General features: G+C 31.7%; 1 annotated feature.

Moving 5' to 3' along the window:
* Window positions 898-1,192: a silencer, noted in NCBI's record as "tiled region #7086; HepG2 Repressive non-DNase unmatched - State 24:Quies". NCBI's record gives its function as "represses a minimal TATA promoter and a strong SV40 promoter by Sharpr-MPRA in HepG2 cells {active_cell/tissue: HepG2}" and the evidence as "EXISTENCE:reporter gene assay evidence [ECO:0000049][PMID:27701403]".

The raw sequence follows: 13,709 nt of genomic DNA, 5'->3' as shown, positions 1-13,709 counted from the left end.
TTACTTCTAATCCTACAAATGAACCTCCACTAATTGAAGTAATTCACATATGTTTGTGTTCTTTGCAACTAAAAGAAGCTAACTAATAAACTTACCAAATTTAGGAGATGACTATTTATGGCCATGGGTATAAAAGTGTATTTTCATTGTTTTTTTTTCTTCTTTTTTGGTGCACATGTTGTCAGCAGAAAAAATAACAGTCAAATATAAATTTTAAAATATGTAGAATTCTTAAGAATTAAGTTAAATTTCTGTTGAATTTGACACATATTTAAGAGGCTGAGAGTAAATTTTAAGGATCAGAATTAGGATAAATGATGTAAGTAAAAGTCTATGAAAAACATTTAAAATAGAATTATAAAGATTAATAAGTTGATAGGTATCCAGGAATGAAGAAATATTTATCTTCCCAATTAGGAGGAAACCTCACTCTACCTAAACTAGATAGAATGGATTATGTTCTTTGCAACTGAACCCTAAAGGACAACACTCCAAGGGGAAATTAATGTGAAATAAAATGCTGAACTTCAAGAAATTGGTTGTGATGGAGGTCTATTCTGTCATATATATATATATAAGACCTATATGAAGTATTTGAAGCCAGAGGAAGTTTGCAAAGGTACATAGTGCCAGAGAAAAATCCCAACTGAATATATAAATTATATATGAGTAAGTGTAAGAAATATTTTTAAAGTACAGTTTTATATGCCAAGGAAGAATGGTGGAGTGTTGTGAGAGATCATGTCAGCAACATCATCTTAGATTAGGAAAAAATGCCAAATTGGGTGAGTTCTGGGGATATCAACCATGATTTTACTATTTGTATGAGGCTCTGTTTTTGTGCAGAAGGACAGTGGGTAGCAGTGCAATTTTAAGGAAAGGGAGATCTGTTTTTAGTGGAAATGAGTAAGCACCTTGCTATGTCTCCCAACCTTAAAACTTTTGACTTTGTGCCAGTATGTACTTGAAAAGGTCCTTGAGGTGGAAGCTAGGCATAGCCAGGAAAAGAAGTGGTGCATTTCGGGGAACCACGGAGAGAAAGGGAGAAGAGGTGGATTCACAACTCTGTTAATTCACATTTACCATTTTACCACATTTAACATTTTACAATGTTTAACCATTTTTATGAAACAATATGATAGAAAGCACACACATATGTACATATACTTTGAGGTTACTGTTACAATTACTTATTTATTAGATAAAAAGAACAATAAAGAACTGGAACTTTTGCATTATATAGATTAAAAGATACACTATTATACTTGACAAATTTTGTTCATGAATAGATTCTTATTTGAAAATTTTTGGTTAGGGATAAGTTAGAATACATAACTCAGAAAATATAACATGATTTCTAAGTTTGAGTAGATTGTCAAAGCAATCAAATATATAGAAGAGTAGTTAATGATTTTTTTCTTAAATGTGCGATAAAATTACTGGGGCCATGAAACTTAACAATAACAAATAAAAACATTTCTTGACAACAAAATAAACAACTAACATACTTGAAAATGAAGCCATACTCATACAATTTGCTCTAGATTTAGCTGTGTTAACATTCAGCAGGAAGTTGTCACAGAGCAATAAACCTGCGGTACACACAGATGGCCCTACCTGTAGGAACAGATATCTGTACTCATCTGTGACAGCAGATCAACATTTTATTCTTCTTATTTTCTCTAGAATTTCTGAGTTACTATTTTTCTATGTAGAAACAAAATATGCATTTATAATTGTCTTTAACTTTTGGAATTATATTAATTGAATTAGTTTGAATCATAATTATTATTCTATTGACAAAATGAAATCATTTTCATAGTATTTGATTGATTTGATTAGTATTTTAACCTATAAGGCAGTTAGAAAAAGTTTTATTATAGATATATATGCATTAGGAAACTGACCCAGAAAAAATCAACATTATTCAACTTCTAAATTCCAACCAAGGATCAACAAAATAAATCATTTGGTTACAAAACGGTGCTACAGTATTTTGCTATAGATGTTATTACTTGTAGAGACTTGAATTTGTGCTTAAAGATGACTAAAATTACCTTACTATAAGTTAAAATAAATCAACTTAATACTTTCATTTGCCAGACATGATGGCTCACACCTGTAATCTCAGCACTGTGGGAAGCCGAGGTGGGAGGATCGCTTGAGCCCAGAATTTGAGACCAGAGTGGGCAACACAGTGAGACCTCAACTCTACAAAATTTTAAAAGTTAGCTGGGTATGGTAGTGCATGCCTGTGGTCACAGCTACTTCGGGGGCTGAGGTGAGAGGGTCACTTGAGCTGGGGAAGTTGAGCATGCAGTAAGCTCATTATCCTGCCACCATACTCCAGCCTGGGTGACAGAGTGAGACCCTGTCTCAAAATAATAATAATAATAATAAATTAAAGAACACTTTAATTCAATTTTAAAGATCCAGTACAATATTTTTGTCTCACCATCACCTTGATGATTTGTGGATTTTCTTTTCTTTTTTAACTTTATATAATAAAAAGTAGAAGAAAAATTAGAGCAGCAAGGAAGCTAGAAGAGAATAAATAATCACGACTTATTTGTACCTTGTCCCTAAGATGGTTAAAGACTTCCCTTAGACTTTCCTAAAATTAGTTTGGAAATGTGATTAGGTCCCATATGACTAGAGACAGAAAAGTTCTAAGACTTCTGTCTATAATATCTTGTCCTTATCCGACTTGAGTTCCCCAAACCTTTTTTCCAATCTAAGTTCATATTCTGAGAAATATTTTCTAATTCACTCCCCAATTACCAGTGTGATAACCTCTCCTTCTTGATATTATATACTTTTAGCATTCTTTACTGATCTCCTATAATGTACATTGTGGCTATAATTATTATTACTTTATCATTTATATTCTGTGCCATGTGTATCAGTGATGCAATTCTGCATTCCAGGTGATTATGGCTCACCATTCTTCTTCCATTTGCCAGTTTGGGGATGTGTAGGACAATATCACTTTGGCAGAGAAAAAAGGAAAAAAAATTATTCATCTTCGAATCATTGCTTCAATCAATCCTGAAGCTCATCTTATTAATATTTCTGTATTTTTCTTAGTTTTAATGGATTTGCAGTTATATTCAGGCTAAAGTGTCATAAAATGTAAACATTTATAAGGTTCCATAAGCTGTTCTTAGAACTTATATGAACAATCTTAATCCATTATCTCACAATTTGTGAAGTTGATAATAATTATCCCCATTATTGGGATCAGGAAACTGAGGCCTAGAAAAGTTAAAAACATACCCAGGTACACAGACTAGTGAGTGGCAGAGCCAGGATTCCAATTCAGGCAGTTTGGTGTGATACCCAATCCTTGTAAACAATATGCCATATTGCTTCTGCTAGCTCACAACTCACTGTATGTGTCTACCTTGCACTTTAGTTCTTTGCAGATAACTTTTTTATTGGTATTTATTGGTATACATATCTCCAGTATTCAGCATCATGCTTGCAACATAATCAAATACACTATTATGGGCAATATGGGGTATGTTCCTTCTATAAGATAAAAAGTAGTGGGTAATAATCTACTCATTAATTGTTTCAGCAAAAAAGAAAAAAATTAACTAGAGAAACTAAAAAACTACTGTCATTATTTTTGTCTAGACACTTCCCCAATGGCATCTGTCCTAAATATTCTTCAATACTTGTTCCCAACATGTTTTGAAGATAATATTTTAGTTTACAGAATAATAGCATTTGAATAGCCTGGTGGTCAACGACTCATCTCACTTTATTATCGATTTTTTATTCAAAAATTATTAAATACATGCTAAGTATGTATTGAACCATGCTATGGAGTCAGTGAAGTCCCTTTCAGTATTGCCTCTTGATATTATGCAGGAGGTTATTTTATTTATTTATTTATTTATTTAGAGACAGAGTCTCTCCCTGTCGCCCAGGCTAGAGTACAATGGCGCGATCTTGGCTCACTGCAAATTCCACCTCCTGGGTTCAAGGGATTCTTCTGCCTCAGCCTCCCGAGTAGCTGGGATTACAGGCGTGCACCACCATGCCAGGGTAATTTTTGTATTTTTAGTAGAGATGGTGTTTCGCCATATTGGCCAGGCTGGTATCGAACTCTTGACCTCAGGTGATCCACCCGCCTCAGCCTCCCAAAGTTCCAGGATTACAGGCGTGAGACATTGCGCCCAGTTGGGAGGTAATTTTAGAAATTCTGTTAAATATTGGCTTGAGGAAATATGCACATGGTGATCCCTTATTGTCATTTCCAGTGTCTCAGAGAAGTCAGCTATAGTCAAGGGCTTTTGATTTATTCTCCTATAAATAATATAAGAAACAACAGTTGATAGTGGTTTGTTGGTTCAGTGGGTTTGATTTTTAGTCTTGAGAAAGAATATGGAAGAGAGAAATGAGAAAAGAAAAGTAAGTTCAATATTCCAATAGGTATTTTGCTACAGCTACAATTATAATTCTAAAATTTAGTTACTGTTTTTTATTGATAATTCTTTTTTTGTTGAAAGCAATATTATTTCTTCTGAGTAGCATATCACGGTGAATCAGACTTAAAACCGTTATTAGCATAAATGTTTTCTTTTCTCCATTAACTCTTACCACACTAAATAGAATTATTTTAACTGTTCCTTACTTAGTAATTACCGTGTGGCTTTTTAGTGCTAACTTCTGTAATAAAAAGGAAATGTATGAACATATTTAATTGAAAATTATAGTAATAAAAAAGATGCATTTCACTTATCTTAGCTAGAATAATTATTTTCTTGTTTTCTATGTTAAAGTATGCTACTTTAAAGATGTCATTATTTTTTATTTTTTTATAAAATATGTATCTTATGGAGAAAACTAAATATACATGCTGCCTGCTTTATTTTATTTTTAAAAAATTATTGAGATTTTTTTAAACATTGATAAACTTTATTATTTATAGCAGTATTAGTTTTACAGGATAATGAATGGTAGTACAGATAATTCCTATTTACCCTGTTATATCCCTCCAGTTTTCCCCATTATTAGGGTTCAATATTGAATTGCACATTCTATAGGTTCTGACAAATGTATACAATATCATTTATCCACCACTATTGTATTATACAGAATAGTTACACTACACTAATATTCTTTCGTATTTCACCAATTTACCTCTTGCTCCCTCTTACTGAATCTCTGTCAACCACTGGACATTTTACTGTCCCTATAGTTTTATCTTTTCTGTAAAGTCATTTGGTCGGAATCATATAGTATGTAGTATTAAATATTCCCAGATTGGCTTCTTTCACTTTGCAGTACCCATTTATGGTGCTCCTTGTCTTTTCATGGCTAGTATCTTATTTCTTTTTATTAGTGCGTAATAACCCACAGTAGAGATGTACCACAGTTTAGGTATTCATTCATCTATTGAAGGACACTGTATTACTCAGTGTTCTCCAGAGAAACAATCAATAGAATGTATGTGTTTATCGGCCTGTCTGCCTGTCTGTTGGTTTCTTTATTTACTAGAAAGAATGGGATCAGCCTACCATTTAAATGTAAATCTCATCCAAAAACACCCTCACAGACACACCCAAATAATGTTTGACTAAATATCTGTGGAATCCATGACTCCATGATCCAGTCAATTTGACACAGAAAAAGTGACTCATCACAAATATCTTGGCTGCCTCCCAGTATGGAAATCAGAAATAAATTTTATGTAAACATTACATAACATTTTTTTGTGTGTGGATGTAAGTTTCTAAATCATTTGAAACAATACCAAGGAGTGTAATTGCTGGAACATATAGTGAGAGTATGTTTAGATTTGTAAGAAAATATTAAACCATCTTCCAAAGTGAATGTACCATTTTGCATTCCCAACATCAGTGAATGAGGATTCCTGTACCAGCATGTGCTGCCGTCAATGTTTTGAATTGTAGCCATTCTAATAAATGTGTAGTGATATTGCATTATTATATTTAATTTTTAATTCTCTAGTGACATATCATGTGGACCATAATTTGAATGCTTGATTGCCATCTGTATATCTTTTCTGGTGAGGTGTCTATTCAGATTTATTGCCCCCTTTTAAATTGGGCTGTTCATTTTCTTATTGTTGATTTTTAAATGTTCTTTCTATATTTTGGACACAGATCCTTCATATGACTTTCTCCCTGTCTGTTATTTGTAATTTCATTTTTTAAAAAGAATAATGGTTTTTAATATTAATGAATTTATTTATCCAGTTTTTCTTTCATAGATCCTGTTTTTGTTGTACCTAAAAAGTCATTATTAAGCCCAAAGTCACCTAGATTTTCTCATACACTATCTTCTAGGAGTTTTATATTTCCATTTTACATTTACATATGAGCTCTATGTCTAGGTTATTAATTTTTGCAGGTTCATTAGTTGAAAATATTATCCTTTCTTAATTAAATTGCCTTCAATTATTCATCAAAGATCAGCAGACTGTATTTGTTTTGGTCTATTGCTGGGTTCTCTATTTTATTCCATTGTTCTATTTATCTATTACTTTGTCAGTATCAACTGCACTGATTATTATAGGTGTATAGTAAGCCTTGAACTATAGTAGTGTCAGCCCTGGACAGCCTTTGTTCTGCTCCTTTAATATCCTTGGTTATTCTGTGTCTTTTGCCTTTCCACACAGACTTAGAATCAGGTTGTTCATATCCACAAAAAGCATGCCAGGATTTTCACTGGGATTATATTGAATCTGTAGATCAAACCAGAAGAATCCAACATGTTGACAATATTGAGACTTTCCACATATGCAGAATATCTCTCTATTTATTTAGATTTTATCAGTGCTTTGTAGTTTTCCTCATGGGGATCTTATACACATTTTGTTAAATATATATTTAAGTATTTAATTTTTTTGGAAATATAAATGGTATTATACAATTTTCAAATTCCACTGTTCATTGATGGTATATAAGAAAGCAATTGGCTATTATATATTAACCTTGTATCTTATTACTTTGCCATAATTGCATATTGCAGTTTTTTTGTTTTTATTATTGCTGTTGATTGTTTGGGATTTTCTACATAAACAATAATGTTATCTGTGAGCAAATACAGTTTCAGTTCTTTATATCTCTGTCTGTCTATCTATCTATCATCTATCTATCTATCTATCTATCTATCTATCTATCTATCTATCTATTATTTTATTTTCCTGACTAATGGCATTAGCTGGAACATCTCATATGATATTTAAAACCAACAAACATTGTTCCTGCTGCAACAACAATAAGCTATGTGTGACTATACTTTATCTTGTTGCTTATTTCTCTCTACAGTTGAAGATCAAATAACTTGAAAAGTAACTACATTGGAAAATCTTCTAAGTATATTTTAATTTTGAAACAAAATAAAACTAGACAGTTTGCCTAAATTAGTGAGAAAAACATTAGTTTAAAAATTAGAGAATGCATGTCAGAGGAAAGAATACAACTAAATAATCTAAAAGAAGAGATTTTATACAATGTGTTATATATTTATATGAAAGAAACCCTTTCTTAATACAATTTTCATGTTAATTGTGTCATTTCATTCATTACCTAATGTACAATTGGAAAGTTTGAAAAAGCTAGTTTATATTCAAAACAAAACAAAAACTTGAGAATGATTTGATCTTAGGAATTCATTATGCATTATCAGTTATATTGGTAAAATTAACTAAAAAAGCTGGTTTCTTCTATTGAAAAATCATCTCACACTTGATAGTCTACTGCGTATTCTCTACATGGAGTAAACAACATACTGTGTATTAATAAGACCCCACTTAATCTGGGATATTTTGAAAGGCCTTAATGTGTCGGATAAATGGTAGATATAATGAAAAATGTCTTTTAGTGGAATTGATAGTAAAAGATTTATGCCTAGATAGCTTAAAGAAAAAAACAGTACTTTTGTGATATAGCTAATTAATGCTTACCAGGAAAGTATTATAATATTAGGATCAGAACAAAACACTGTTTTCAAAAGTAAACATACAACTTTACACAGATATAGTTACTTTTCTCCCTGTAAAAAATTTATATAAGTGCTATATCATTCTGTATTTGCATTTACCTTATAAGACGTTTTATCTACAGTAATTTGGCTATTGTATACAATGGGCCCTCCGTATCCTTGGGTTCTACATCTATAGATTCAATCAACCTCAAATAGAAAATGTTTGGAAAAAAATGGATAGTTGTGTCCATACAGAACATACATACATTTTTTTCTTATCATTATTCCTTAAACAATTAAATACAACAACTATTTATGTAGCATTTATATCATATTAGGTAGTGTAAGTAATCTAGAGATGACTTAAAGTGGCCAGCAGTGTGTGTAGGTTATACGCAAGTACACCATTTTATATAAGGGACTTGACTGTCTGTGAATTGCAATGTCTGGAAGGGGTCTCACCACAACCAATCTACCACAGATACTGAGAGATGACTGAATAGACTTTGCAGAGCAGTTTCTTTTCCAGGTATAAGTGTGATTTCAATTTGCTGTGAAATTTGAAAAAATAATAATAATATGCTCTTTACATTAAGGGTACTAACTTTTTTCTTATCCTACTAACACATCCTCTAATCAAAATAAATAGGAATATATGAATTGGTTTAAGCTAAACACCCCTCTAAAGTTTCTTACACATATTTTTTGCATAATAAACAGCATTGCTACCACATGGTGTTCAATCTATTTGTGTGTCCTACGTAATCTCATCAATTCTTTTTGCATATTTTGTTACCAAGCCTGTCATGAATATATTACTTATTATTTTTCTTGTTTCTCACCCACATTTTCTCCATAGGCTTTTCTAAACAGATGACAGCCACAAACATATTCTAATGTTCTCACTCATCACTATTTTGTAGTATTGATATACCCATGCCACTACCACAGTTTATACTATCTGTGAACTAAAACAAACATTTTTTTAAGTTCACACATTTTCAGGTGGCTCTGTTAATGTTTGAGAGCTGGTGAATATCTTACAAATTATATAAGAAATTCTTCCTGATAAAATATTAACACCTACATAGTCTCTTGATCAGTCAATATAATTAGTTCTCAAAAGGTCAATAATAATAATACATTATTTACATTATCAACAATTACAACAATATTTACTGAATGCTTAATGACCTTGTGTATCGAATTATATCATTAAACCAATGTGGCAGACATTATTATTATCCACTTTTAAGAGATGGAGAAATTGAAGTTTGTAGATAAATATCTTGCTCAGGATTTACAAAGAAGGTTAGTGATGCAAAGAATTTTTAATTCAGAGATTCTGATTTAAAAAAAGTCTAATCATTGCGCTGCTCTAGTTTATTTATTTGTGAACACCTCACAATTATTTCCTAATAAGTATTTTTGCTGTTTTCATTGATACAGTAGAAATCAAGAAGTAATTTATTTATTTATATTACTATAAACCTTTTAAGTATACAGAATCTTTAATAGCTATACAACAATTTCAAGACAAAACAAAAGGATCTTTCATGAGCAGCAAAATGTATCAACATTTATCTGATGGCATGCAACAAAGTCTCACCACCACCACCACCACCATCCTCACCACACCACTTCTCTACTAGGCTGAAAGCTGCTTAAAAATGGAGCTCATGAAATTTATCATGAGTGTCTAAATTGATCCTTCACAGTGTACTTAGTATACTATACTGATTAATTAATTTTTGCATACCTATTTTGTTGGAAACAAAAAAGAATAGACTGCCTCAGATAGATAATAAAATTTTTATTCTCAAATTTCAAAGGAGAGTTTCCTTTCTTTCGTCATTGTCATTTGACTCTAAGAGACATTTTAGAAATGTATATTCAATTTTTCTTTTCTTTTTCTTTTGAGATTTGGGAGAAAGAAACCAGGCTATGGTGGTCATGCCCTATAATAGAAATAATTCTTTATTTTTAAAGCTCAACATAATTGGAAACAATCAATATTGGAAAGATAATCTCACTATGACAATTCTATATAGATGAGTAAACCTATATGGGTAATAATAACTTATTGCCTCAGAGTTTAAATGCATGTCATTTAACAAGTTTTATTTTCATAATTAAAAATTGCAGCTTTATTTTACATTTTTAACTCATACTTCTTTTAAGTAGTAAATAGAGACGGAAATAGTAAATAGAAGTAATTAGGTGAATAGTATGGTCCAGTGATTTCTACTTGGATGGCAGTTCTGTTCGAATTTTCTGATGCTCTTTCCAGTATCTCAGATGGCTTCAGGTTGTCAGATGGCTTCACGTTGCTGGTCTTGGAATAAATTTGCTATTTAGTGCACAGGTGATCAGGTGTGACACAGCTCTGCAGAAAACCTTTCTTCACACTTGATAGATGTGTGTCACTTTGTAGACTATAAATGGTGTCTGGTGAAGCAGTGTTGCTGTAGAGGGTACCTTGCAACAAAGGACATGGCATAGATATTAAACCAGTTACAGTTTTAATTACAAGAGTTCTTGTACAGGAATTCTATAGACTCTAAGAGGTTACTTATCACACAGGTGGAAAGTGAAGGCTGCGTTACTAGTCACTGAAATGAATATCAGTAATATCTGGTTGCTCTGGGTAGTATCCTATAATTAACTAAGTAATTAGTTAAGTATAATAATTTGGAAAAAAATTATAAGCAAGGCTCAGAATATGAGATAATAGATGCTCATTAAACATTAGATCATCATTTTTTTTCTGGAAATGAATAGCTACAATAACAACAAATACAAATTTACAAAGTATCATATTTTTTCCTGGAAGTTGATTCATAAAAGCATGAAAACTATTTAAAGACATAAAGCATAATCATGGATATGAAAGTCTTTAAAATTTAATTGGGGATGCAAAATAACTATATATCACAAAGTATTGTATATAATTAGTACTGGGGAATAACCTTTACCTATATGTCTTTGGGTGCTTAAATTGTCAGATTATGTGCAGATTCAATGAATAGACCAAAATTTTATGTTTAAAAATTAAATCTCATCTCTTATTTTGAAAAATCTTTTGGTGAAACTATTTAAGTTTTATTGTAAAGATAATGCCTCATTTCAAAGAATCTTGGGGCCCATCACGTTTTGCAGAGCGTGTGTAAGGAATGCATAGTTTTCATCATACCCATACTAGAATGTGTAGCATAATCTCCATTTGAGATGAACTAACGAAAACATCTTGACGTTATGATTATGGACATCTGCCTTTGTTTACATTCATCTCAGCTTAATGCAGAAAATGTCAAAGAAAGAATGTGGGGGTGAAAATTGTGTATCTTTCGGTTTTACTTTCATTGCTTAGCACAAAGGATGAAAAGGCATTGTGCTTCTTGTGTGGTAAGCATTTAGCTAATGGATGCAGAAAGCAAACAAAGCTGAAAGGAAATGTTTTATTGCCCCATTCTGGACCATATGAATTTTTGCTGCTTTTGTTATTGTTGTTTTTGTTGTTGTTGTTGTTTAAATGATTTGAAATGTCTGGAACTTCACCAAAATCTGGAACTGTACCAACACAGAACTTTGTCTTAAAACATCTTACAATTTTGCTTATTCTCTTGCCAAGCAAAAGAAGTCACACATGTTTGGATAGAATAGAGAAGTCAGAGAACTGAAAATAAAAAGGACAATATTTTCGTTAAAGTAGTTTAATTTTTTGTCCCATTACAATAAAGACAAATGGAAAATAGAAAATACTTTGAAGAAAAACATGACACTTTGATGAAAATACTCTGATGAAAATCACAAAGTAATCTGACTCTATTCAAATGAAATCATAAATATCCTCGGTTAATATATATGGATATATTATGCACTTATTTTAATATATTTTTAACTGAGGATATTTATAATATTGAAGTATGTCCTTTTATTATCAGGACAAATGGATATCAACACTCACATTTTGTTTTATACGTGTATAACTTTTATTTATATATAATTGTCACATACAATTGTCTTCTTGATATATATGCTTGCAAAATCAGCTTGCATTTCCACCGACTCTTATTTTCCAGATAAATCTGAAATTCAGAGCATTTTTGTACAAGTGTCCATTATCTTAATTCAATCTAGAAGATGCAAGCAAATTCCACTTTCAAACGTATATGCATACTAACTTGCAATTCTTTCTTTTTTCATATGTTTTAATGCTGTAAACTTTCATAAATTCTTCTGTTTAATTAATGTCTAATGAAAAAATGAGAGGGTAATTTTTGAATTTTTACACTGAATTCAATTACTTGTTCAAGATGACTGTGTTAGCATTTCATACAATAATTGGTCTTAATATAAGGAGGTATTCTTTTCTATTTTAGAAATAATTTACTAATATCTTCCTGTGCTAAAAAATATATTAGCATTGTTACCATTCCCCTCCCCAAGCATGTCCTTTTCCTCTCTCTAACTTACTATTTGCTACAGAGTTTAGTTAAGGCAATATTTGGTGTTTACATTTCTGTGTTTATTTATGAACATCTGGATAACCGCAGAGACATGTTGATTAGTGCTAAAGGCAGGATGGCAACATCAGCCTCACCTGGCAGCTTTTCAGTTGGAGTAGTAGCTCTGGGAGACACTTCTAGAATTTAAATTGGAATCTACACATTAGCAAGATTTCCCAGGTATGCTTTTGAAGATTCTGATTTAGTAGATCTTAAGTATGACTTGAGATAAGATTATCTAAATATCTCCAAAAATATCTTACATGACGCCAGTGCTCTGGTTCTCCAAATACTCTTTGTAGCAAGAATGTAGGAAACCATGATTACCTTTTCTCTTGGTATAACATTTTCTAACAACTATATTCAAATTGACTTTTTCTACTTATTTTTTAAAATAAATATCTGTCAGTAATCCAGGCCTGTATTTTCTGACAGAACTCAATACAGTCAAATGCACCAGGTTACAGATCTTTCTTCTCTTTCCCCCCTTCCCTTTGGGAAAAAGAGCCTTGCAATTTTACATTGGCTCTTCTATTCTGATTTAGAAAGGTTGAGCTTCACGTCAGACTCAGCTGTAGTCCTAGGTCACTATCAACTAGCATCAGACCCTGCACAGCCATAGAACTTGCGGGACCTAGTGAATACATGAAAACCCTCTTTCAAAAAGCAAGAAAAAACTGTCAATAATGGGACTAAAATATAAAACTTTCATTGTTTTTTCTGCAGTTTCATCTCTCTCTCTCTCATTGTCATGGTATCTTTTTAAGTGTTTTTTTCTAAGTTTAAAAAATCAGATTAACACAATTTTTTACTGTTCATCTTTATATTACGCAATGCCTATTTTAAATACATTCTTAATAGCTTGTAACTCATGTGAAGGATCACCAAAATTACTTAAATTTTATTGCATCATTTGTAAACTCGCATGAATCTCATTCTTAGAAGTGTGAAAGCACTACACAAAACTACCTAATGTATTCTTATTTCACTTGGTAAACCCATTCTACCAACACTGTATACTACTGGTTTACTGATGAGTAAGAAAAGAAGCTGTGACTACCTGACATTTCCCTTTCCTTCTTTGTCATCATTTTTTTTAATTGCATGTGATTTACTAATACGGGGAAGTAACATGAAAAATAAAGAATATGATAGAGTTCCTTGGTCATTCTTGTTTCTTAGAATGTGATTAGCTTTTTTGCTTTTTTTTTTTGGCGGGGTGGTGGGGGGTGTGTATGG

The sequence above is a fragment of the Homo sapiens genome, chromosome 13, assembly GCF_000001405.40.
Source record: "Homo sapiens chromosome 13, GRCh38.p14 Primary Assembly".
Taxonomy (NCBI): domain Eukaryota; kingdom Metazoa; phylum Chordata; class Mammalia; order Primates; family Hominidae; genus Homo; species Homo sapiens.
This window is presented reverse-complemented; position numbering and strand designations above follow the sequence as displayed.